Source organism: Homo sapiens, chromosome 4 (assembly GCF_000001405.40).
Source record: "Homo sapiens chromosome 4, GRCh38.p14 Primary Assembly".
In the NCBI taxonomy this organism is placed as follows: Eukaryota; Metazoa; Chordata; class Mammalia; order Primates; family Hominidae; genus Homo; species Homo sapiens.
In genome coordinates this window covers 54,043,012-54,068,265 of record NC_000004.12, presented here as the reverse complement: position 1 = coordinate 54,068,265, position 25,254 = coordinate 54,043,012, and the positions used below count along the sequence as shown (strand labels likewise).

Here is a 25,254-nt window from a genome sequence, read left to right as displayed (position 1 = left end):
TCACCTTGAGGGCTAGGATATCAACATACAAATTTGGGGGGATGTAAACATTCAGTACATCGTAGCCTGGGTGGCTTAAACAACAGAAATTTAGCTCACAGTTCCTGATGATTTGGTTCCTGGTGAGAGTTCTCTTCCTGGCTTGCAGATGACTGTCTTCTTGCTGTGTCCCCATGGCACAGAGAGATCGAAAACTATCTAGTATTTCTTCTTGTAAGGGCACAAATTCCATCATGAGGGCCCCAGCCTCTTGACCTCATCTCAACCTAATTACCTCCAAAGGCTCCATTTCCAAATACCATTACATTGAGGGTTAGGGCTTCAACATATGAATTTGGGGGGGGGGACAAAATTCAGTCCATAGTACATGCACGATCTCATTTGATCTTCCAGAACCCCATGACATAGTTTCCATTTGAAGATGAAGAAAAGGAAGCTTAGAAAGGTGAAGCTGCCAATGGCCACTCTGCTAGGTAGAAATGGAACTGGGAAGTTTTCAAGTCTAAGGAATTAACTAAGCAATATTTGCCTTAAAAACAAGTCTTGCTGACTCCTGAGGCCTGACATTATCCAGTTTGGTTTTGAGCCATTTGGTCTAAAGGTAAATATGAAAATATGTGAGGCAAGAATATAAAGAGAAACTCCAATGAAGAGGAGGCTATGGAGGGATGGGCACTTAGCAGGGTGCAAGTGAGTACCTGGACACAGAGGGAGAGGATCCTGGAAAAGTGGCTTATCTCCAGGAAGAAATTGGGGGAGGAGTTTTACAGGAAACTGGATCTTGGAAGGTTGGCAGGGCGGAGGTGGAGGGTTGGAATTACGATGTCAACTCTCATCAGGAAAATGTTTGACTCATGTTCGCTCACCCCTTTGGCCTTCTTCCTAGGTCCCACACCCTTTTGCTGGCTCTGACAGGTTTTTCAGAACAGGAAAAAGAAGAAAACACACACACACACACACACACACACAGACACACACACACAGAAAGGAAAAAAGAAAAAGAAAAGGCAATTCCCTGCCTCTACCGTATACCCAGGCCGTGGGAGTTACAAAGATCTCTCTGTTGAATAGATCTTAGAATAAGAACATTTCTCCCACATCCAGCCAGTGTGAAGATAAGAGTGAGGTTCTCACAGTCCTCTGAAGCCTAATTAAGTCACAGTGTTCTGGAAAGAGCACTAGTAACACTGTATCTCAATTCAGATAACATTTATTAAGCTCCTTTTCTGAAGCAGGAACTGTGGAAGGTGCTGGAGTTCTAAGGAGCTCTGTGTGGCTTCCTCCGTCTTTGGGAAGTTGTCAGCTATGTGATGATTTAGATACTTTGGGGCACTAGCCCCTTATCTTGGCCACTGTTTCTACATAAGGGTGAATTCTCAGCCACAGCCAGGTGTGGGCTGTGCCAGGACATACTGACCTTATTTCCTCTTATTCTCTTTCTTATCTTCCCATTTGCAGCTGTTCCTTTAACTGAGTGCAGCCACTAGTCTCCTGGTTCCTGCCAAGGAGGAAATTCAGAGGCTGAGGAGGGAGGATCGCTTGAGCTGAGGAGTTCAAGGCTGCAGTGAGCTATGATGGTGCCACTGCACACCAGCCTAGGTGAGAGAGTGAGACTCTGTCTTAAAAAAAAAAAAAAAAAAGACATTCAGGAAAGCTTGGACCACCAGTATACTCAATTAGACCATTAAATCTTAAATCGTCACATGGCCTTGAGAAAGCCACATAGCATCTCTGAAATATAGCATATCATAGCATCTCTGAAACATAGCATATCTGAAAATAAATACACCCTCTTTGCTTACCTCACAGGTTCTTGGGGGAATATTAAATGATATATTATGTACGTGCTTTATAAGCAGTAAAATATTACATAATGCTGTGGTAACCCTCACAGGGTTGATAAGCTAGGGAGCCTTAAGCATCACCTATTACCCCGTATTTATTGTGTACTGGGCCTTCTTCTAGGCACTTCACCGATCTTAAGCCCTTGAATCTGCTGAGCATCCCAATGGGGCAGGTACTGAACAGGGAAGTTAAGTGGCTTGTCTAGGGTCACACAGTAAGTGGCAGAGCTGACATTCAAGGCCAGGTAGTCAGGTTCCAGAACACACATTGTTAAACACCAGACCAAGCTGCCTCCTGTGTGCCCCACTGACACTTCCTGTGTCCTCCTCCATGAGCCCCTGGCAGAGATGACAATTGCTTGCCTTAACAATAGATAAGCTACCAGAAGTCAGGGCCTGTGCCTCATTCACACACGTCCACAGTGCCTGCCACATAGCTAGAGTTCAGTAGATATTTGTTGAATGAACAAATACCCTCCAGGGAGGGATACAATAAGTCTGATACAACTACTGTATTTTTCCTTCATTTTTTCTTGGCTAACCACACTCATTTCCTTCAGTTGTTTCCAAAAGGAGGTTGGCATCTCTCACTGTCCTCATTGACCTCCTTTGCACTTTCTCCACGTCAACAGTGACCCATCTAAAGCCGACTACTGTGACATGAACACTGCACTTGAAGAGCCTGACCAGCGCTGGGCTCAGTAGAACTATCCTTTCTTCTCCCATGGTGTATCCTCACTGTCCAGGACTCTCTTCTCAGAAGCCCACTCCTTCCCCTGTGCTGTTTATATGCTTAATGAAACCAAGTACCCAAAGTGACCGTTCAACTGTTACTAGGCAGCTAAGTAGACTCCATTAAACCTTTTCCTTCCTTCCTCCCCTTCTTTCTTTCTCTCCCATTCTTCTTTCATTCTTCTCGTCCTTCCTTCTATCCTTTCTTCCTTCCTGCCTCCTTTTCTTCCTCTCCTCTGCCCTTTCTTTCAGGTCTTTTTTGTGGTAGGAACTGGTAAGAAAAGGAAAGGAATTCCCTAAGATTTTAAGGAAACAACAACAAAAACCAGGTTATGTTTGGTGAGAGAGTTGGGGCAAGAAACTGCATCTTCTAATATGGAATCCAGGTAATTTATCAGTTTTTTTTCATAGCATGACTACGGTGAGATTTCTTGTAAGAAAAAAAAAAAAATACCAGCATCGCTGGCCTCATATATTGGATTATACTTAAGGGGATCAAGGGATAAGATGTTTGAATTTGGAGATGTCTTGAAAAATCCTGTGGTGAGCACAAATGTTTGCAGTGTCTCTGCTGGACTCCTCAAATTGGGAAAAAAGAGACTCTGGTTCTCATCATAGACTCAAAACCTGAGGAAAAGCGAGATGCGATTATTAGATAAACTGGCAATGACACGCACAAAAATGTGTCTATTCCAGCCAGGGCTTTTCTTTTCAGTTGTTTGTTTTGGTTAGAGATGACTTTGGGGAACTGCATGTCCCACTGGACATTCCAAGCTGCGTTGTCGGAGTCGCGGGTCGCGGCCTCCAGTCAGCGGAGCCGCCGCCCCCAGGGTCCGCCACCCAGAAGTCGGCGGAGGGGGGCCCGCCGGCGGGAGCGCGCGCCCCGGTCGCCGTCTGCGGGTAGAAGCAGAGGAAAGACGGTGGCCTGGGAGCGCGCGAGGCCGCACGTGCGCGCGCCCGCCCGCCCGCCAGCCAGTCCGCTCGCCCACGCGCCCACGCACGCGCCCGCCCGCCCGTTGGCCCGGGAAGTCTCGCGATGCCGTAGCCGGCTGCTCCCGCTGCGGGTGGCTCGGGCTGTTGCTGTGGTTTCCTGAGTTGCTGCTGCTGCGGCGGCGGCAGCGGCGTCTGTGCTTGTGGAGGTGTCGGCCTCTGGGCGGATGTTGACATTGTGTTGTTGTTATTGCTGATGGTAATGGCGGCGGCGGTGGCGGCGACGGTCCAGACCCCATCCCCTCTGTAGCCGGAGCCGAGACAGCCGACAGCGAACTCCGCGGCCTCGGAGCCGGCGGCAGCGGCGACTCCCCTCAGCCTCCGCCGCCTCGCCCGCCGGTACCCCGGCGCCAACCCCGGGAGTCAGGCCCTTTGGGCAGGGGAGCTCGGAGGCTCAGGATGGCGGATTTCGACGAAATCTATGAGGAAGAGGAGGACGAGGAGCGGGCCCTGGAGGAGCAGCTGCTCAAGTACTCGCCGGACCCGGTGGTCGTCCGCGGCTCCGGTCACGTCACCGTGTAAGGCCCGGAGGAGGGCGAGGGCGGGAGGTGCGGGCTGGGGTGGGCCCCGTTACTCCACGGGAGCCCCGTTTCCCCTGTGTCCGTCTGGTGTCGGGGGCCTTCCGAAAGAGTAGGCAACCAGGAAGTGAGAACTTGGCTTATTTTCATTTGTTTGGGTCTCCGAAGTGGGGACGGACGCTGTCCTTCCTCCTCCACACACCCCTTTAGCAGGCCCTACAGGCCCGGGCGATGTGACGATCCCAGTAGGCACGGGTTTTCATTAGGGTCTGCCCTGCGGGCCACCCTTCCTCTTCAGGGTGGAAGTACGTGTATTGACAGGGAGCCTCCTTGTTTTCTCGCCCAGTTACCCTGTGGTTGTCTGTGCCTTTGCACCCAGTGACATGGCTCAGAGGCCAGATCTGGGCCGTGTGAGACCCCAGTGACAATTGGCAGCGAAGCTCCGTTTCGTGTCTATTTCACACATACCCACAGGTCTCCCAGTTTTTCCACTAATTTCCGCAGAACTAATGCAAGTTCTTGTAATTGTACGTGATAAAAATATATAGTTGAACACAAATTTAAGATATACAGAAAGAAATATGTTTACAACAACAACAACAACAACTACGTGAGGGACATACACTCTGCTCAGGTTACTGAGGGAAAATTGTAGTCCTGAAGCTCCTCCTTGGGGCACGAACTTGGGGCTTGTTAATTTGGAAAGTCCCACTAGTAACATTAAAAGTCTGATATTAATAAGGAATGAAAGCTTTCGGAAAGACCATGACAAAGGAATGTGAAGCCTTGAACCAAATAATGAGCTGTCCGGAAGCAGGAAGTTTTGTAATGTTTCACTATGAAGTCCACAGTTTTGTACCACTTGATGTATTACATTGATACTCTCTCATTTTAGATCTCTTGTTCAAATAATAGATCAGACTTCCATACTTGTCAGGTATCTCTGTACTTCTTCACCTTTTCAGTGAAACAAAAGAGCCAGCAAGTCTGAGAATGTCTGGAATAGTCTTCATTATATTTTGGTGAAGAGTGAGTGGGATGTGCTGTGAATAACTTAGGGAAACAGTAAGACTTCTCATATAAGTTTGTCAGCAAAATAATTGCATTTCTCGTATGACCAGCCATATTGTTGTTTGAGTATGCTTATGTAATGCTTTAATTTCTTTAGTACCTGTTAGTTTATGTTCAGGTGACTTAACAGGGTAAAAACACTGCATAATTGCCATCACAGCACCATGACAAGACAGTGGAATTTAATTCACCACAATAATACTTTCTAAGTGTTGTCACCAGCTTAAGAAGTATAACCAAATATCATGGATATTAAACTTTTAACATATATCACAGAATTCATAACCTGCCATTTGATTTTATTTTGACTTTTAGGACCTTTTTGCACTGTTTTAAGCCTAAGGAGTATGTGGATGCTTAAAGAAGTGATTTCCAAACTTTGTCATGCCATCTATCCCTCCTTCTACATTCCTCATGTCAAAGAAAAGCTAGAGAATTTTGTCATTTAAAAAGGCGACGCTGTAGTTGTAATGTTTCCTCTGTTAAGGAGAAGAAAAGCTAAGCACTTTGTTGGGCAAGTGGAAAATGCAATAGTGGGCAAAGTGCTCAGAACCTAGGTAATCAGTAAACTTGATTGTAGTTGGCTACGTGGAGAGGTTAATAGGGTAGAAAATAATTATTAGTGGTTTTCAAACTTAGCTGTCCATTAGAATCCTGGGTGTCTTTAAAAAAAGACCATTGTCTTTGCTCCACCCCAGGCCAGTTGAAGGCCAAATACTAAGTGAGGGTCCTAGGAGTGGACAGTTAAAATAATAAATAAATAAATAAATAAATAAATAAAATCTCACAGGTGATTCTAATGTGTAGCCAAGATTGAAAACTATTCCAGGTTATAGGGAGGGACTATCTATCATCAATAAACAGTATGCCTTTCTACATTGTGAGTTAAATCTCTGATTTTCCTCAGCAACTTCCTTCTTCTCCCATTTATCTTGGTTCTAGGCTCTGGGTTAAAATCTATCTCAGCTACTTCCTGGATAAATTGTTTATTCATGACCTTTAGTTGAGATGGGGATAGTTATAGTCGATACCTTTTAAGATTATTAAGGATTAAATGAGATAGTACATGAAAAGAATTTATTGCACTGTGTGGTACTATGTTCAATAGATACTAGTTTTTATTATTCTCCTCCTCAGATATAGTTTTCCACTTTGAGAAACAGGTGTAAAACAAAGTACTAAAAAATTAGAACTGCCATTATCAAACATAACAATGATTCACCTTAGTCTTATTTTTCCATTTCTAAGCAATGTGTATGTGCTTAAATTACTGTGTTTGAAGTATTTTGATGACAATAAGGATCTTTCTGCATTGAAAACTTAACCTGTTTTGTGGCGACATAGGTAATAATAGAAAACTTTTTTTTTTAACATGGCTCTGTCATGCATAATTCCCAGGCACACTAGCACACCATGCCAGTGGGTAGCCCAGTTAACATCTATAAAGGTTTTTAGAATTGGTGCATATGTATTACTATAACTGTTGAGCACATTCAATTTTTCTTGCTTTAAATATAAATGGGAAGAGCTATTAGAACAGTTGTAGTAAGACTGGCTAAATTTAACACCCCCTCCTCCACCTTTTTTTTTTATTAGGTGCTGATCAGAGCAGTCTTCCCTTACCAATTTGAAAGTAATTGACCATGTAAACTGAATCATCTGTAGTCTAGATCAGTCTAGAAGGATATAGATCAATCCATATGTTTTTCACAGATGTAACTTTTGAGTAGCCCTTTACAATTGACTATTTCTGCTCTTTTTTTCTACTTTAATATATTACAGTATTACTGTTTATTTTAGAAACTGGTATTCTCACGTGACGTGATTGGCATGTCATTGTGGTGATGTGAGAAAGAAAGTTACCTTCCATTCTCTAGGTTAGTCTCTAGGCATAATCAGATTTTTGTGACATAGGATGCAACATGTTTAATTTGCCTAAAGTCTGCTTTAAAGTGGCTTTTAATGCAAATATTTTCCTTTTTTTAAATACAAATGTTTTCATCGTGACCCCCAAATCAGACTTACTTTTTATACTTCTCTCATGATCAGTATTCTTTTCTGACATTCTTCTGTTTAAGTATAATATTTCCCTTCATTGTTAGATTTCTAGGTAGCAATATGGGGAAATCTTGTGCAGAAGCATATTTTGAGGAAAGTGGTATTGGAAGGAAGGAAAATAAATGATAAATTCCTGTTATTGCATAGTATTTAGGTACATGTAACCTAAAAGGCTTACAGTCACCATTCAATTAAAAGTAGATTTCCTTTTTGCTTTCATGGTGACTTCTCATATAATTGACGATGAGGAAAAATAGTTTCTAAAATAAACAGTAATACTGTAAAAAGACTATTAGGTAGTCTTGACCAGATTGGTTAATATTTTAAAATTATGGAGTTCCTTATGCTTCAAAATATATTTGCAAAATATGTTGATCATTTATTGAAGAGTTTCGTTTTTCACAGTGGTAACTCTAAAGGATGTGTCAGTCTAAAAGTTAGAATTTAAAAGTAGTTTTAGGCCAATATTTCCTAGGTAATCTGTCATTATAACAGACATTATTTGCTCCCATCTCCACTTTCTACCCTTCTTGTATCAGAATCAAACTTGGGGCTTTCCTAGAGTATGTATAATCTTTGACTTCTAACTCAAGCCCTATCATAGAGCCAAGTTATTTTGCTGAGGTTTGTTTCTAATGTTATTCTCTTGTAATTTTACCGTGTCTTCATGTACTCTCTTCTGAGGTGTAATCTTACCATCTCCACAAATAATTCCTTATCCTTCAACACCAGTTTTTATCAATGGCTGTCGGAAACCACTTTTTGCTTGTTTTCATTCCAGATATGTTATGGAAGATTAAAGATTTAGAAATGTGACTTGAAAATGTTTGGGAACTACACTGGGATGGAATATGACTTTTGAATAAGAGACATCACAAGAACACCTTAGTGTTTATTGATCTTTCAAATGGTAGAGTTAGTAAAAAATTGTCTTGAAATGTGTCAGTATTTCAGGACTGCTGCTAGATGCTGTGGTTAGCAGTAAGAGACCTGAATGTGAGTTGCCAAATTACAGAATCATGTCAATAAAACAATTTTGTTAAACTTTATAATTCCTACTTCTTTCTCCCACCCAGCATAATATTTAAGACACATTCTATTTATTTCTAAAGATTAAGCTTTCTGTTTTGAAATTTTTGAAGGCTTCATTGATGTATCTCCACAGGCTATAAGTTCTTGAGGGCAGAGGTTGTGTCTATTGATCTTTCTTTACTATTTAATATAGTGTCCAGAATATTATAGTTCCTATAATATTTTCTAAATGAATGAAGTAATTGTATACATCTTTGGATTTTGTCAGAATTGCCAAATGAATCACTGTTTTCTTCTCTGCACCTCCGAACAAAGGCAAACAATGTTCTATAATAGAATACTTATCACACTGAAAAGATAAATAGCTCCTCTGTTTTAAAAAATGAAATCTGGTAATTGTGAGGAAATTATCAAATTAAGGTAGATTTTTTTTTTATAACTTTTTTTTTTTTCTCCAGAGATTTTTGTTTTCTTTTTTTAGAGACAGAATCTTTCCCTGTCACCTAAGCTGGTGGGCAGGGGCCTGATCACAGCCTACTGTGGCCTTGACCTCCTGGCTCTAGTGATCCTCCTTTCTCAGTCTCTGAAGTAGCTAGAACTACAGGTACACGCTGCTATGCCTAGCTAATTTTTTAAAAAAATTAGTTTTTTGGTTTTTGTAGAGATGGGGCTTCACTGTATTGCCAGGCTGGTTTTGAACTCCTGGCTTCAAGTGTTCCTCCTGCCTCAGCCCCCACAAATGCTGGGATTGTATGTATAAACCACCATGCGTGGCTTCCCAGAGATTTTTCTTATTCCATATAGTTTGAGAGGAAATTAATTTGATTATAATTTGGTAATTTGATATAATACATATCTTTGGTAATGTGAAGAAAAAATTCTATGCATTTTATTTGGACCAACTACTAAAACTTCTTAATGCACAGATTTTCTTGAAGAAATGAGAAATATGATAATTAACTGAGGTTTCAAAGTTTTTACTGTATTTGAATTTGAGAATTTATATGACATTTGGTCCAAAGAGTTCAGTGTTGGATTTTTGCCTACCAAGGGATATGAAATTGATTAGTACTTAAAATTTTATATGACTAGCTAAGTGGAAAAGAGGGATTAAATGGTGAAAAGTAAATTATATGTAATTATTATGATACTAATCAAATACTATTCTAAATAATTTAAATAAATAATATTACTCTAAAGCAGAATTCCAGCTGGAGTTTATACTGTCAACAGGTTAAAGGCCCAGGATATTAGGCCAGCTGTATACTCAGAAAGAAATCTTTCAAATCTCTAATAGCTGTGTCTGGCTTAGGTTTCTAATCTGCTATAAAGCTATTTAGATTTTATTAATAAAATTAAGCTTTAAATATAACATGTAGCAACAGATGCTCTTAAGTATCCTTCAGGTATCTTCTGTGTAAGATTGTGTGTGTGTGTGTGTGTGTGTGTGTGTGTGTGTGTATGTGTGTGTATGTGTGTATGTGACTTTTGACCCAATCAGAATATTGGGTCTGGAAGGGAAGAGTCTAGGGATTTTTATTTTTGGTAGGAGTGTTATGTGATTCTATCAGACATATTTGGAAAGTAATAGATGGTACTGTGGAAAAAGTGTGGTCTTTGATATGAGGCAGATTGGTTTCAATTCTCAGTCACTTCCTGACAGTAACCATAAGCAGATTAACCTTTCCGAACTTCAGTTTTTTCATCTGCGAAAGAGATAATATCCACCTTAGAGGTTACGTGTGAGAGTCAGAATTTATCTAATTAATAGGCATTCAATAAATTATTACTTATGACATATTTTGATGTTTAACCCTGCATGCACATTTTTTTGGTTATTCTTTACCATTTTGTGGGAAGTCAGTCTAAAATGTGAAGTATGCTTTTCTGCTTTAAAACAAGATTCTGAGCATAGCTCAGAATTATCTAATTGACTAGAGGAATCATTTAATCAAAAGCGGCTATCAGATTGATACACAGTGATGCCTTAGTGGCCCTGAGGTATGTTGGAGTTTGAGAACCTTCTCTAAATGGCACTTTCATTTAAATTTCATATGTGGGCTGTTCTTTTTGGTTTGCTTTCTTCTGTCTTTGTAATTGGTCAGCTGTTCTTGGAAGCAAAACAACCAACCAGCCTTATTAGAACTGCATATAAAGTAAGAGAAGTTCATCCTGATTGTTGAATGTAGATGCTTGGGTTTTGATGCTTGGGTTTTACAATATTTATTTTGTTTTCTCAGAGTATTTTTTGCTTAATCTTTGATTATCAGCTGTCTTGTTGAGGTTTCCTGATAAGTAATTTAATGAGTATTTGTTAAATGCCCATTTTTCTGCCAGGTATTGCACAAAGCTCTGGGTATATAATGAAACCCAAAATGAAACACACATAGTTTCTGCCCTCATGGAGTTTACAGCTAATAGACAAATTTTATCTGATAAAGTTGCACTGAAGGAAATGGATGAGATCCTGTGATTGAAAATAATGTGATTAGGAAGAACCTCTCTGAGGAAGCTAACATTTAGGAAGGATGAGAGTCCTGTCAGGAGCCCCTGGATCTGGAGAACAGCAGGTGCCAAGACTCCAAGCCAAAACAAGCTTGACTTGCCTGAGGAACTGAAAGGATACCTCTATATTATGGCTAGAATATAGTGAACAAAGGGGATAATGTCTTGAAATGAGGTTGGAGGGTTCAGTAGGGGCCAGAAAGGATTGTAAAGGAATTAGAATGAAATTTAGAAGGTTATAGAAGCAGCTTCCATAAGACATGATAGTGGCCCCAGCTAGGGTGTTGATCTCTAGATTAAAGGAGTTATTACAGTTCTGTGTGTAAACCATCAAATTTCACAGCTTTTCCTATGAGGTATGGAAATACATAGCAGTGGCCACTTTTGCTGTCTAATTCCTCAGTTCTTATGTTTGTTTTGGTCTGTTTATTTTTTAATTTTAGCTTTGTGTAGGCTGAGGTTAAATAACTGGCTACCCTTACTGTTCACTGGGAGTGATTTTGATGGCATACCTGCACTTTCTGTTCTGCTGCTGGGGCAGCTAGTATGCCAAGAGAATAGCACATGCCAGAAGTAGAGAGTGTTTCCCACAAGATCATAGATTTTGAAGTGGGAACCCTCGTAAATGTGATATCCTTTAGCTGTAAGGTGTGTAGTATGTGACAGCCCTCAGTACATGATTCATTAGATTTGAGGAAAAAAATTGTGTTTTTTATATCTTACATTTAAAACTCAGTTGCATCCGTAGGAGCTGAAATGTTCTCACAGTGTCCCTGAAGAATAATTTTTTTGTTCTTAAGCTTTTTTTCTCTCCCACTATCTACTTAGGATAGAGTTGGTTGGACTTGAAGGTAACCTAACTTTGTTATTTTGATTGATAAAAAAAGTGAATGTACTATATATAGTGAGCTTCCTGCAAGAACTTCTTGTTTTATTCTCTTTGATCTTGCATTGTAGTCATAATGTGGGCCTTGGTTAGTTCAGTGGTGGAGTTCCTATGTACCCAGTCTCCTTTCTTGGTCTTTTCTAAACTGCTCAATTATAAATGTTACTTGAAATGAGTATTTTTGTTAGTCTATATTGTAAATCAATTCAACCATATATTTTGCTTAAATGAACATAATTTAGCATCATTATTTTGCTCTTAAGATTTATAGAAGTATGAAGAATATTCTAAAATATGTATAAATCAGATATACAAAAATCTTTTTTCTGTAGTTCAGAAAATTTAAAAGTTGTTAAGTTAGATCAGCTGCATCCCTATATCGCCAGAAGTTAGTTATACTGTGCATTTTCATCAGTATACACTTATATAGCTTTCACTGCTTAACAACATATTTAATCTGTTAATAATGGAAATTATAACCTTAATAATTAAAAATTGATAAAATGCTAATGCTAGATTATTATAAGACTATGTATAATGGTGAGGTTTATGATAGAGTAAATTTAACACATGCTTTGGAGAATTAAGTCTTTGATTTCACTAGTTTCCTGAATGAGATTAAACTTTCATAAAACCAGATGAACTCAAATATTGTTCAGAATGTGGTTACAGAGTTAAGATTTTTAGAATTATTCTGAAACCCAAATATACGTCTCCAACTCCAGGGTCTCTGTATCTTTTGTATAAATAGAGTATACTTTCAATTAGATCCCATCCTCCTTGAGCTACATTGATATTCAGACGTATGTTGAATCAACCAGATAAACTTAAAGCATGATTTATATGCATCAAAGCCTGTTAATTTTTTTCCATAGTTATGACTTTATCTCCAAAACTAGCTAAAAATTTGAGTTCATTGAGCTCAAAGTTCAACATTAGGAAATAAGCACTCTCTTCATGTGCCATCTGCATAACCAATATGTTCAGTTTGAAATTTCTAGTTCATATGCTCATAGGTCTTGTCATATCTGTAGGAACATAAAAATTCTCTGTATCTATAGATTTGTACAGGTGGAATGTCTCAGAATCCAGAATATCCAAAATGGAATTCATAATCTACACCCCAAATCAGCTTCAACGGCAGCCTTCCATTCTCAGTTGATGGCAGATCGAGGACCCTGTTTGTTTAGATCAAAAACTTTTTGATGTATTCTTGATTTTCCTCTTTCTCTTTCACTACATCCATTCTGTCTTGACATCTTGGCTCTGTCTTCAAAATTTGGCCCTATTTTGCCACCTACACGACTGGAGTGAATTGCCAGTCTCCCTTCTGCCTTACGCTTAATGTATTTCTTAAGTCAGTTATGGTGGCATGTACCTATAATCCCAGCTACACGGGAGGCTGAGGCAGAAAGATCACTTGAGCCCAGGAGTTTGAGACTACACTGGGCAACATAGCAAGAATCCATCTAAATTACAAAAAATATATATATATTTTTTTCTTCCCCCTGTCTCCACCTTTCCACCTTTGCCTCTCCTCTTATACAACCATTTTGGTACATCTGCTATAGTGATCCTTTTAAAACATAAGTCAGTTCAAGTCTTTTCTCTGTATCAGGCCCCTCAAAGGTTCCCCATCTCCTTCAGAGTCCTTTTAATGTTCTACCAGACCCTCCCTGATCTGGCCCATCATTACTTGTCTGGTGATCTCAGTTTCTGCTTACTATTGGCTTCAGTTTATTTTGATTTCTAATTATCGATGGCTTTACTACATCTTGACTTCAATTTAAGCCCTCTCTCTGTCAGCTCTGCATGTTACCATCTATTTGTCTTATGTTCAGATACCTCAAGAGAGAGCTGATTGAGTTAGTTAATGTTATCTAAGTTAGGCAGGACTGTTTGGCCTTGCCATTCCATGTGCTGCTACCCAGCCCAGGGATTAGCTGTTCTTAAAGCAGATGCCCACTTGTGATCTAATTAGCCAAAGTATAGGGAGTTCCTAGTTAGGCATGCGGAGTAACAGACTACTCTCTCTAGTATACATGGTTTTGAGCTGTGTAGCATCTTTTCAGATTGTTGTATTATAATTAATTTAATTATAAGATATTTCTGTTTTAAAAATTTCACTGTTAAAAATATCACTGTAACTCAGAAGAAAAGAAACATTGAACATATATTTTTGATTAAGGGCAAAACAAGTTGAAGCAGTGGATTCTTGCATTTCTGCATTTAAAAAGCAAAATTCGTTATGAGTTCAAAACATGTCTTAATTTAAAATGATAGCTCAGTAGTGAATGCCAAGAGACATTGTTAATATGAGGAGATACAAGGAACATAGAAGAAGTTAAAACTGAAGTAAGAAGGACAGAGGATTAGATGGACTTGAACTATGGAAAACATTGAAATGCATTCAAGAAAACTATTGATTAGTGAACCTAAATTTCCTTGTTTACTTATCTTAAAATACCTAGTTAATACCAAATAAAATATTCAAATAAGAAAACAAAATTAGGGTGGTATTGTACATTATAAAATATTTGTCTGCCGGGTGTAGTGGCTCACGCCTGTAATCCCAATACTTTGGGAGGCCAAGGTGGGCGGATCACTTGTCAGGTGTTTGTGACCAGCCTGGCCAACATGGTGAAACCCCGTCTCTACTAAAAATACAAAAATTAGCCCAGCATGGTGGCGAGCACCTGTAATCCCAGGTACTTGGGAAGCTGAGGCACGAGAATCGCTTGAACCCGGGAGGCAGAGGTTACAGTGAGATGAGACCACGCCACCGCACTCCAGCCTGAACAACAAAGCGAGACTCTGTCTCAAAAAAATAAAATAAAATACTCGTCAATTATTTAGTTAGCAGGAACTATACATTTCTGAAAAATAGCTCTTATTTAAAAAAAAACAAATGACACAAAATGTCTTTAATACCCCCTCCCTAAAATAACACTGCAGAATACTTGATTATTCATTAACATATCTGTGCCACTGCAGCTATTTTCTCTTGATACATTTCTGGAAGTAGAATTACTGGGTCAAAGGGTAGGAATTTTTTTTTTTTTTTTTTTTTTTTGAGACTGAGTCTCACTGTTGTCAGCCCGGGCTGGAGTGCAGTGACGCAATCTTGGCTCACTGCAACCTCCGCCTCCGGGTTCCAGCAATTCTCCTACCTCAGCCTCCTGAGTAGCTGAGATTACAGGTGCCCACCACCACATCCAGCTATTTTTGCATTTTTAGTAGTGATGGGGTTTCACCATGTTGGCCAGGTTGGTCTCGAACTCCTGACCTCAGGTGATCCACCTGCCTTGGCCTCCCAAAGTGCTGGGATCACAGGTGTGAGCCACCACACCCAGCCAGGGTAGGAATATTTTTTAAGACCCGTTTTACATACTACCAGATGGCACTCCTGAAAATTCTATCAACTTGCAAGATTTTTGTTCTTTTCAGTTAATATCATGGTATATTGAATTTTCTTCTTCAACATTTTCCTCCATTGAGAAAGATGGTAAAAATACTGAAGATACATAAATAAATCTAAAAATGAAAGGGAGGGAAGGTAAATAAGTTTATGTTCAATGGTATTTCTGTGTTTTTAGTTTGCAAATTTCATTTTTAATGGTTGTTTAATATTCTGTTATATTGAGATAAGATAATTTTCTTAACCATTCCTAAAATGTTGTAAATAGATACATATTTATATTTGTGAATAAAGATTCAATGAACTTGTTTATGCATAAATTTAATCCACATTTCAAGTTATTTTTTAGGTAATATTACATTTCTAAAGAGAAAACAGTATGACAAAGGTATAAATATTTTCAATGCCAAATTAATCTGAAATGGTTGTAACAATTTATAGTTCCATTGACAGTGTGTGATATTTTTCCATCTTGACCTTCTTGCCAACATAAAATATTTTTTAAAATTTAATTAGTCTTGTAGATAACTGAATTAAGATGCCACCTACTTTAAATCATATTTTTAAAAATTATCCAAGTGTTACTTCTGGCTTTTTGGATTAGTAGAATGTTTGGTTATTAGAGTCTGAAGGGGGTTCAGCTTCCTACTCAATGCAGGAATCATTGCTCTTCTTTCAAGTACATCAAATTATTATTTTATGGGATGAAACTTGGCCTTTCTAATACTGTGCTGAACCAGTTGTACTTTGTCTTAGAATAAAGGAAATTATTTTTACCATATATAAAAAGTTTTATGTAAACTTGTAGGTACATTTATAATGCTGTCAATTGAAAACAAAACATAGATGCCATTTTCATTCTAACAGTCTCTGCCTCCTGCTGAACTTAAAAAAGAAGCCAGAACTAAGGTATTGTCAAAATTAAGTGGTTTATGTCAAAAATAAATCATTAGAGGTGATATTTTACAGTTATATTATCAAACAAGAAGTGTGACTTTTCCTATCCATTTAATAAAATAAGACCGTCTTGCTAAAATTCTACCTGCTACTATTGTTTTGGTTGGTCTAGATTTGGATTAAAAAAAAAGGTTTTGGCAGGGATGAAAAACATAGCAAAGGAGATATTTGCTGTGGCCTGTGCCAAATAAGAAATTCTGACATTCAAGCTCTTTGCCAGGAGAAAGCATGCTATATGAAAGAAGACTTGCTGAAAAGAGTTGTTTTCAACTACTCTGATGAGAACAGTCTTATTAGTAAAGAAGTGTGTAGGAAAGCCTGGATTGTGGTAGTTTGAATAATGAATGGGAGGTAACGTAAAGATAGTTAATGTAAAGGAGTCTTTCAAAACATTAGTTGAGGAAGGAAAGAAATAGATGCCATCAGACATTGAGAGAGAAGAAGAAATAAGGATTCACATCCTCAGGTGGATAGACTAATTCAGGTTTGTAGGCTATGTTTAAGGAGCCTGAAGCGAGGTAGAAATACAGTGAATTGCAGAGGAGACTGGAGGAGATGCACTCAGAAGTAAATGGTTAGTTTTTGGAAGCTTTCCTCCATTGAGAGATGGTAAAAATACTGAAGATATATAAGTAAATCCAAAAATAAAAGGGAGGGAAGGTAAAGCAGTTTATATTCCATGACATTTTTTTCTCTCAGAGTTGACAACTGTGGTTATTTGCAAAAAAATGTTGGTTGTGAGGATAAAGTGGAGTACCTAAAGACAGGCACAACAACTACGGAGCATGGAAAAGAGAACTTACTGGGGATGAATAAAGATTGTTACAATAATACTCATGAGATTAGAAATAAGATATGTATGTTATATATATATTTATTATTGGTGATACATTTATAAATGTGATTTTTCTCCAGTAGCTCCAGGCAGTGTGAAGAAGGTAAACAATTTAATTGAACCTGGGTTGGCAAGGGACACTGTAGAGATGATTAAAGGTGTTTGTTGGAGTATGTTCAAAATGATTGACTATGTAGTTCTGGCAAATAAGGAAGGAAATGGAGTCATAGGGAGCTATGGAGGGGTGGGAAGCAATATATTACAACCAGAGGCCAAAAAACAAATTTAGTAAGGATGGGAGAAATGAAATGATTGATGGCAGTGGTAAGAGAAGAATTTTACAGTTCAGAATTTCAGAGGTGATACAGTCCCAAGTGATGACAATATGCAGAATATATCACAGTGAGTAGGTTGCTGAATTAGATGGAGGTGCAGGAGGTAAAGTTCTTTAGAATAGATAAGGTCAGGAGTGAACTGTAGTTGAGGATTTCTAAGGAAAGAGTGGCATTTCAACAGGGTTTTTGGTTAAAGTGAAGATATATACAAGTATGTGGTGCTTAACTATGGGGACTACTCTGATAAATGGGTCAGTAGGCAATTTCATCATTGTGCAGACATCACAGAGTGTGTGTATACAAACTTAAAATGGTGTAGCCTACTACACATCTAGGCTATATGGTATAGCCCATAGCCCTTAGGCTACAAACCTGTACAGTATGTTACTGTACTGTGTATTGTAGGCAGTTATAACACAGTGGTAAGTTTTTGTGTATCTAAACATAGAAAAGGTACAGTAAAAATACAGTATTAAAATCTTGTGGGACCACCTTCTAGTATGTCCTGACTGAAACGTTGTTATGTGGCACATGACTGTATGTATTTAAGGTTTGTTTTGTTTTTTAAGATAAGATATAAGGAGGTATCCTGATAGCTGCAGATCAACAGATTGAGGGTTTCAAGGTCTATCAGGAAAGATAAACTTGAATATGATGATCATGAGAAAGCAGGATAACAGATTGGAGTGGTTTGCAGAGTTATGACTATAGACTGGAGGAATGTAGAGATAGTGAAATGGATGTATGTGGGATATGAGTAAAACAAGCCTGTTTCAAGATTCCATTTAGATTTAGGTGTAAAGTTGGAGTCCCCCCTTCAAAACTTTACAGTGTATTACATGAACTTTCAAAATTATCTCAAATTATATAAAAGTAAAATTGGTCTCGTGTGTGATTTCTTAAGGAAACAAAGGAAGCTGTAAAAGCCATAAAAGCCTGCACTGAAGTGTTGCATGGAATGTGCTCAGTAGTTGTGATTTGAATGAATTCTCTGTTCTCCAAGTACTGGTAGACTTCTGATAGATAAAAGCAAGATAGGTTGTTTTTATTATGTCTTTTATCTTCTTGTTATATTTACCATTCTTTGAAAATAGTTTAAATCTTTTATCAATTCTAAAGCCATGGAATATTTTAACCATGATTCAAGAAAAGGTCTTTTAGGTAATAGGAATAGATATAGGTATAGTACACGTCTACATTTTCTTTCATACCATCTAATGCACTGACAAATAGGTGTTCAATGGAACCTAAGACGGTTCTTGGTAGCACTTTGTCCATTCCTACTTTTTTATTTTTTCTCTCCCTTTTTCCTTATTCTTCCCCTCCTCACTCTTTTTCCTGCATTTTTCCTTCTCATCTTATTGCTTGTGTAGGACACCTGCTAAAATTCACAGGTATTGTTTGTTTCCACCAATAACATTAAAAGCTGGAAAAAATCGCTATCCCACCCATTAAAATAATATGCTTTGTAGTTACTTTTTAAGATATAAAGTTGGTAGCTCAAATTAAATGAACCATTTATATTTTTGTTTACATACTGCTGGTTAATTAACATTCAGCCCCTTATCATTATGCAAAAGTTTCCATTTAACTGCTAAAATAATTGTTACATTTCATAAATTGCTTGTTACAGTTATTTTATCTCAAACTTCCATTTTATGTCTAAAACTTCCTCCATATGTGAAAATGCTTTCTATTGACTTGACCTTTAAATTAAATGGTCTACATTTTTGGCAACAATAACATGTAATAACATATTCTTCTTATTTTTTAAAATAGATTTGGACTGAGCAACAAATTTGAATCTGAATTCCCTTCTTCATTAACTGGAAAAGTGAGTGTCTCATTTATGTACTATTTGTATGCCTCAAAATGAAAGTTTTTTTCTGAGAAAATTAGAAAAAAGTATGCTCATCAGTCATGTTTTTTGACATTAATATTGCATTGTTATTATTTCTTAAAATTTTTCTTTAGGTAGCTCCTGAAGAATTTAAAGCCAGCATCAACAGAGTTAACAGTTGTCTTAAGAAGAACCTTCCTGTTAATGTACGTTGGCTACTTTGTGGCTGCCTTTGTTGCTGCTGCACATTAGGTTGCAGTATGTGGCCAGTTATTTGCCTCAGTAAAAGAGTAAGTTGAATTATATATTTTAATTTAAATTTAGAAGTGGACAAGCAAGTCTTGCATTTATCTAGTTTTTATTTTTTGTATTGAATGAATCACACTATCCTGAATAAAATATGAAAATAATCTGATCCAGGAGAGGAGTGAGTCAGTAAAGTTACTATATATCCAAGTGCTGTTATTAAATAGCCATCTAAAAATTATATTTATAATTTTAGAAGCAAGGAGTAGTGTATGGCATTGTCTGTATCTGTACATTGACAGTGGTGTGGTATAGTGATCAAGGATGCTGGCTTCAGCTCTACCACTTTTCTCTGTGACCTTAGGCACGTTTCCTAACCTCTTTAAACCCTACTTGACACAACTGTAAAATGTTCACCTACTACTTGAATATAAAGGTAAAATGAAAATGTTTGGAAAACTCTTAGCTGAATATCTCAAAGGAAGTGGTTAATAAGTATTAATTAATAGTATTCTTACTGACTGTAAGATGGTACCCATACAAGAAATAAAATGGTTACAATGGTTGTTTCTTGTTGGTAAGATTATGGGACATTCTTTTCTGCTTTTTATATTTTACAAGTTTCCTGTAGTGAGCACAAAGTGATTCTGTAATCAGAAAAAATAATTTCAAAGACTCATTATTTTGACTGCTTATAATAAAAAATTCTGGCCAGGCACAGTGGCTCATGCCTGCAATTTTAACACTTTGGGAGGCCAAGGCGGGCGGATCACTTGAGGTCAGAAGTTCAAGACCAGTCTGGCGTACATGGTAAAACCCTGTCTCTACTAAAAATACAAAAAATTAGCCAGGCGTGGTGGCGGGTGCCTGTAATCCCAGTTAGTCAGGAGGCTGAGGCAGGAGAATCGCTTGAACCTGGAGGGCGAAGGTTGCAGTGAGCTGAGATCGTGCCATTGCACTCCAGCCTGGGCAACAATAGTGAAACTCTGTCTCAACAAACAAATAAACAAAATTTTAAGATGTTGGTAGAGATATGACAAATTATTATAGATTGAATGTATTATATTCTTGTTAAAATTTTCAAAAATTGTATTTATATGTATAAAAATGATACTTTAAAAAAATTTTTTTAAATAAATAAATTTTATTTTTTAAAAATGTATTTAAAAAAATAGAGACAGGGTTTCTTTTTTTTAATTATTATACGTTAAATTCTAGGGTACATGTGCACAACGTGCAGGTTAGTTACATATGTATACATGTGCCATGTTGGTGTGCTGCACCCATTAACTCGTCATTTAACATTAGGTATATCTCCTAATGCTATCCCTCCCCCCTCCCCCCACCCCACAACAGTCCCCGGTGTGTGGTGTTCCCCTTCCTGTGTCCATGTGTTCTCATTGTTCAATTCCCACCTATGAGTGAGAATATGCGGTGTTTGGTTTTTTGTCCTTGCGATAGTTTGCTGAGAATGATGGTTTCCAGCTTCATCCATGTCCTTACAAAGGACATGAACTCATCCTTTTTTATGGCTGCATAGTATTCCATGGTGTATATGTGCCACATTTTCTTAATCCAGTCTACCATTGTTGGACATTTGGGTTGGTTCCAAGTCTTTGCTATTGTGAATAGTGCTGCAATAACCATACGTGTGCATGTGTCTTTATAGCAGCATGATTTATAATCCTTTGGGTATATACCCAGTAATGGGATTGCTGGGTCAAATGGTATTTCAAGTTCTAGATCCCTGAGGAATCGCCACACTGACTTCCACAATGGTTGAACTGGTTTATAGTCCCACCAACAGTGTAAAAGTGTTCCTATTTCTCCACATCCTCTCCAGCACCTGTTGTTTCCTGACTTTTTAATGATCGCCATTCTAACTGGTGTGAGATGGTATCTCTTTGTGGTTTTGATTTGCATTTCTCTGATGGCCAGTGATGATGAGCATTTTTTCATGTGTTTTTTGGCTGCATAAATGTCTTCTTTTGAGAAGTGTCTGTTCATATCCTTTGCCCACTTTTTGATGGGGTTGTTTGCTTTTTCTTGTAAATGTGTTTGAGTTCATTGTAGATTCTGGATATTAGCCCTTTGTCAGATGAGCAGGTTGCAAAAATTTTCTCCCATTCTGTAGGTTGCCTGTTCACTCTGATGGTAGTTTCTTTTGCTGTGCAGAAGCTCTTTAGTTTAATTAGATCCCATTTGTCAGTTTTGACTTTTGTTGCCATTGCTTTTGGTGTTTTAGACATGAAGTCCTTGCCCATGCCTATGTCCTGAATGGTAATGCCTAGGTTTTCTTCTAGGGTTTTTATGGTTTTAGGTCTAACATGTAAGTCTTTAATCCATCTTGAATCAATTTTTGTATAAGGTGTAAGGAAGGGATCCAGTTTCAGCTTTGTACATATGGCTAGCCAGTTTTCCCAGCACCCTTTATTAAATAGGGAATCCTTTCCCCATTTCTTGTTTTTGTCAGGTTTGTCAAAGATCAGATAGTTGTAGATATGTGGCATTTTTTCTGAGGGCTCTGTTCTGTTCCATTGGTCTATATCTGTTTTGGTACCAGTACCATGCTGTTTTGGTTACTGTATCCTTGTAGTATAGTTTGAAGTCAGGTAGCGTGATGCCTCCAGCTTTGTTCTTTTGGCTTAGGATTGACTTGGCGATGCGGGCTCTTTTTTGGTTCCATATGAGCTTTAAAGTAGTTTTTTCCAATTCTGTGAAGAAAGTCATTGGTAGCTTGATGGGGATGGCATTGAATCTATAAATTACCGTGGGCAGTGTGTCCATTTTCACAATATTGATTCTTGCTATCCATGAGCATGGAATGTTCTTCCATTTGTTTGTATCCTTTTTTATTTCCTTGAGCAGTGGTTTGTAGTTCTCCTTGAAGAGGTCCTTCACATCCCTTGTAAGTTGGATTCCTAGGTATTTTATTCTCTTTGAAGCAATTGTGAATGGGAGTTCACTCATGATTTGGCTCTCTGTTTGTCTGTTATTGGTGTATAAGAATGCTTGTGATTTTTGCACCTTGATTTTGTATCCTGAGACTTTGCTGAAGTTGCTTATCAGCTTAAGGAGATTTTGGGCTGAGACGATGGGGTTTTCTAGATATACAATCATGTCATCTGCAAACAGGGACAATTTGACTTCCTCTTTTCCTAATTGAATGCCCTTTATTTCCTTCTCCTGCCTGATTGCCCTGGCCAGAACTTCCAACACTATGTTGAATATGAGTGGTGAGAGAGGGCATCCCTGTCTTGTGCCAGTTTTCAAAGGGAATGCTTCCAGTTTTTGCCCATTCAGTATGATATTGGCTGTGGGTTTGTCATAGATAGCTCTTATTATTTTGAGATATGTCCCATCAATACCTAATTTATTGAGAGTTTTTAGCATGAAGGGTTGTTGAATTTTGTCAAAGGCCTTTTCTGCATCTATTGAGATAATCATGTGGTTTTTGTCTTTGGTTCTGTTTATATGCTGGATTACGTTTATTGATTTTCGTATGTTGAACCAGCCTTGCATCCCAGGGATGAAGCCCACTTGATCATGGTGGATAAGCTTTTTGATGTGTTGCTGGATTTGGTTTGCCAGTATTTTATTGAGAATTTTTGCATCACTGTTCATCAAGGATATTGGTCTAAAATTCTCTTTTTTTGTTGTGTCTCTGCCCGGCTTTGGTATCAGGATGATGCTGGCCTCATAAAATGAGTTAGGGAGGATTCCTTGTTTTTCTATTGATTGGAATAATTTCAGAAGGAATGGTACCAGTTCCTCCTTGTACCTCTGGTAGAATTCGGCTGTGAATCCATCTGGTCCTGGACTTTTTTTGATTGGTAAGCTACTAATTATTGCCTCAATTTCAGAGCCTGTTATTGGTCTATTCAGACATTCAACTTCTTCCTGGTTTAGTCTTGGGAGAGTGTATGTGTCGAGGAATTTATCCATTTCTTCTGGATTTTGTAGTTTATTTGCGTAGAGGTGTTTACAGTATTCTCTGATGGTAGTTTGTATTTCTGTGGGATCGGTGGTGATATCCCCTTTATCATTTTTTATTGCATCTATTTGATTCTTCTCTCTTTTCTTCTTTATTAGTCTTGCTAGCGGTCTATCAATTTTGTTGATCTTTTCAAAAAACCAGCTCCTGGATTCATTGATTTTTTTGAAGGGTTTTTTGTGTCTCTATTTCCTTCAGTTCTGCTCTGATCTTAGTTATTTCTTGCCTTCTGCTAGCTTTTGAATGTGTTTGCTCTTGCTTCTCTAGTTCTTTTAATTGTGATGTTAGGGTGTCAATTTTAGATCTTTCCTGCTTTCTCTTGTGGGTATTTAGTGCTATAAATTTCCCTCTACACACTGCTTTGAATGTGTCCCAGAGATTCTGGTATGTTGTGTCTTTGTTCTCATTGGTTTCAAAGGACATCTTTATTTCTGCCTTCATTTCATTATGTACCCAGTAGTCATTCAGGAGCAGGTTGTTCAGTTTCCATGTAGTTGAGCAGTTTTGAGTGAGTTTCTTAATCCTGAGTTCTAGTTTGATTGCACTGTGGTCTGAGAGACTGTTATAATTTCTGTTCTTTTACATTTGCTGAGGAGTGCTTTACTGCCAACTATGTGGTCAGTTTTGGAATAGGTGTGGTGTGGTGCCGAAAGGAATGTATATTCTGTTGATTTGGGGTGGAGAGTTCTGTAGATGTCTATTAGGTCTGCTTGGTGCAGAGCTGAGTTCAATTCCTGGATATCCTTGTTAACTTTCTGTCTTGTTGATCTGTCTAATGTTGACAGTGGGGTGTTAAAGTCTCCCATTATTGTGTGGGAGTGTAAGTCTCTTTGTAGGTCACTAAGGACTTGCTTTATGAGTCTGGGTGCTCCTGTATTGGGTGCATGTATATTTAGGATAGTTAGTTCTTCTTGTTGAATTGATCCCTTTACCATTATGTAATGGCCTTCTTTGTCTCTTTTGATCTTTGTTGGTTTAAAGTCTGTTTTATCCGAGACTAGGATTGCAACCCCTGCCTTTTTTTGTTTTCCATTTGCTTAGTAGATCTTCCTCCATCCCTTTATTTTGAGCCTATATGTGTCTCTGCACGTGAGATGTGTTTCCTGAATACAGCACACTGATGGGTCTTGACTCTTCATCCAGTTTGCCAGTCTGTGCCTTTTAATTGGAGCATTTAGCCCATTTACATTTAAGGTTATTATTGTTATGTGTGAATTTGATCCTGTCATTATGATGTTAGCTGGTTATTTTGCTCGTTAGTTGATGCAGTTTCTTCCTAGCTTTGATGGTCTTTACAATTTGGCATGTTTTTGCAGTGGCTGGTACCAGTTGTTCCTTTCCATGTTTAGTGCTTCCTTCGGGAGCTCTTTTAGGGCAGGCCTGGTGCTGACAGAATCTCTCAGCATTTGCTTGTCTGTAAAGTATTTTATTTCTCCTTCACTTATGAAGCTTAGTTTGGCTGGATATGAAATTGTGGGTTGAAAATTCTTTTCTTTAAGAATGTTGAATATTGGCCCCCACTCTCTTCTGGCTTGTAGAGTTTCTGCCAAGTGATCAAGTGTTTCTTTTTTTTTTTTTTTTTTTGAAATGGAGTCTCACTCTGTTGCCCAGGCTGGAGTGCAGTGGCATGATCTCTGCTCACTGCAAGCTCCACCTCCCGTGTTCACGCCATTCTCCTGTGTCAGCCTCCTGAGTAGCTGGGACTGCAGGTGCCCACCACCACACCTGGCTAAGTTTTTGTATTTTTAGTAGAGACAGGTTTTCACTGTGTTAGGCAGGATGGTCTCAATCTCCTGACCTCGTGATCCATCCGCCTCGGCCTCCCAAAGTGCTGGGATTACAGGCGTGAGCCACCGCGCCTGGCCGAGACAGGGTTTCTATGCCCAGGGTGGTCTCAAACTTCTGGACTCAAGCAGTCTGCCCTCCTTGGCCTCTCTAAGTGCTGGGATTACAGGTGTGAGCCACTGCACCCAGCCAAAAATGAAATTTTGTT

General features: G+C 38.5%; 1 protein-coding gene across 4 annotated transcripts in view, besides 4 other annotated features; it reads left to right on the top strand.

Annotated features, from left to right (window-relative positions):
* CHIC2 (cysteine rich hydrophobic domain 2) overlaps positions 1-25,254 on the top strand; it is an 82,091-nt gene that overhangs the window by 23,614 nt on the left and 33,223 nt on the right. For 2 of the 4 annotated variants that reach the window (NM_012110.4, XM_011534382.3), the window contains exons 1-3: positions 3,661-4,084; positions 18,961-19,015; positions 19,156-19,311. In NM_012110.4, coding sequence (NP_036242.1) covers positions 3,966-4,084; positions 18,961-19,015; positions 19,156-19,311 — 330 coding nt within the window. In that variant the 5' untranslated portion in view covers positions 3,661-3,965. Of the gene's footprint in view, positions 1-1,458; positions 2,963-3,660; positions 4,085-18,960; positions 19,016-19,155; positions 19,312-25,254 lie in introns of those variants that run through there. The other 2 variants (XM_047450063.1, XM_006714037.5) reach the window with 2 other exon arrangements.
* Positions 557-1,756: an enhancer, noted in NCBI's record as "CDK7 strongly-dependent group 2 enhancer chr4:54932677-54933876 (GRCh37/hg19 assembly coordinates)". NCBI's record gives its function as "activates an origin of replication core promoter dependent on BRD2, BRD4, P300/CBP, MED14 and CDK7 cofactors, with strong dependence on CDK7, by STARR-seq in HCT116 cells {active_cell/tissue: HCT116}" and the evidence as "EXISTENCE:reporter gene assay evidence [ECO:0000049][PMID:35650434]".
* Positions 3,354-3,593: a silencer, noted in NCBI's record as "silent region_15433". NCBI's record gives its function as "represses an Ori minimal core promoter by ATAC-STARR-seq in GM12878 lymphoblastoid cells {active_cell/tissue: GM12878}" and the evidence as "EXISTENCE:reporter gene assay evidence [ECO:0000049][PMID:35858748]".
* Positions 3,753-4,253: an enhancer, noted in NCBI's record as "H3K27ac hESC enhancer chr4:54930180-54930680 (GRCh37/hg19 assembly coordinates)". NCBI's record gives its function as "activates a minimal SCP1, AML or CMV promoter by ChIP-STARR-seq in naive H9 embryonic stem cells {active_cell/tissue: H9 hESC(naive)}" and the evidence as "EXISTENCE:reporter gene assay evidence [ECO:0000049][PMID:30033119]".
* Positions 3,824-3,953: a silencer, noted in NCBI's record as "silent region_15432". NCBI's record gives its function as "represses an Ori minimal core promoter by ATAC-STARR-seq in GM12878 lymphoblastoid cells {active_cell/tissue: GM12878}" and the evidence as "EXISTENCE:reporter gene assay evidence [ECO:0000049][PMID:35858748]".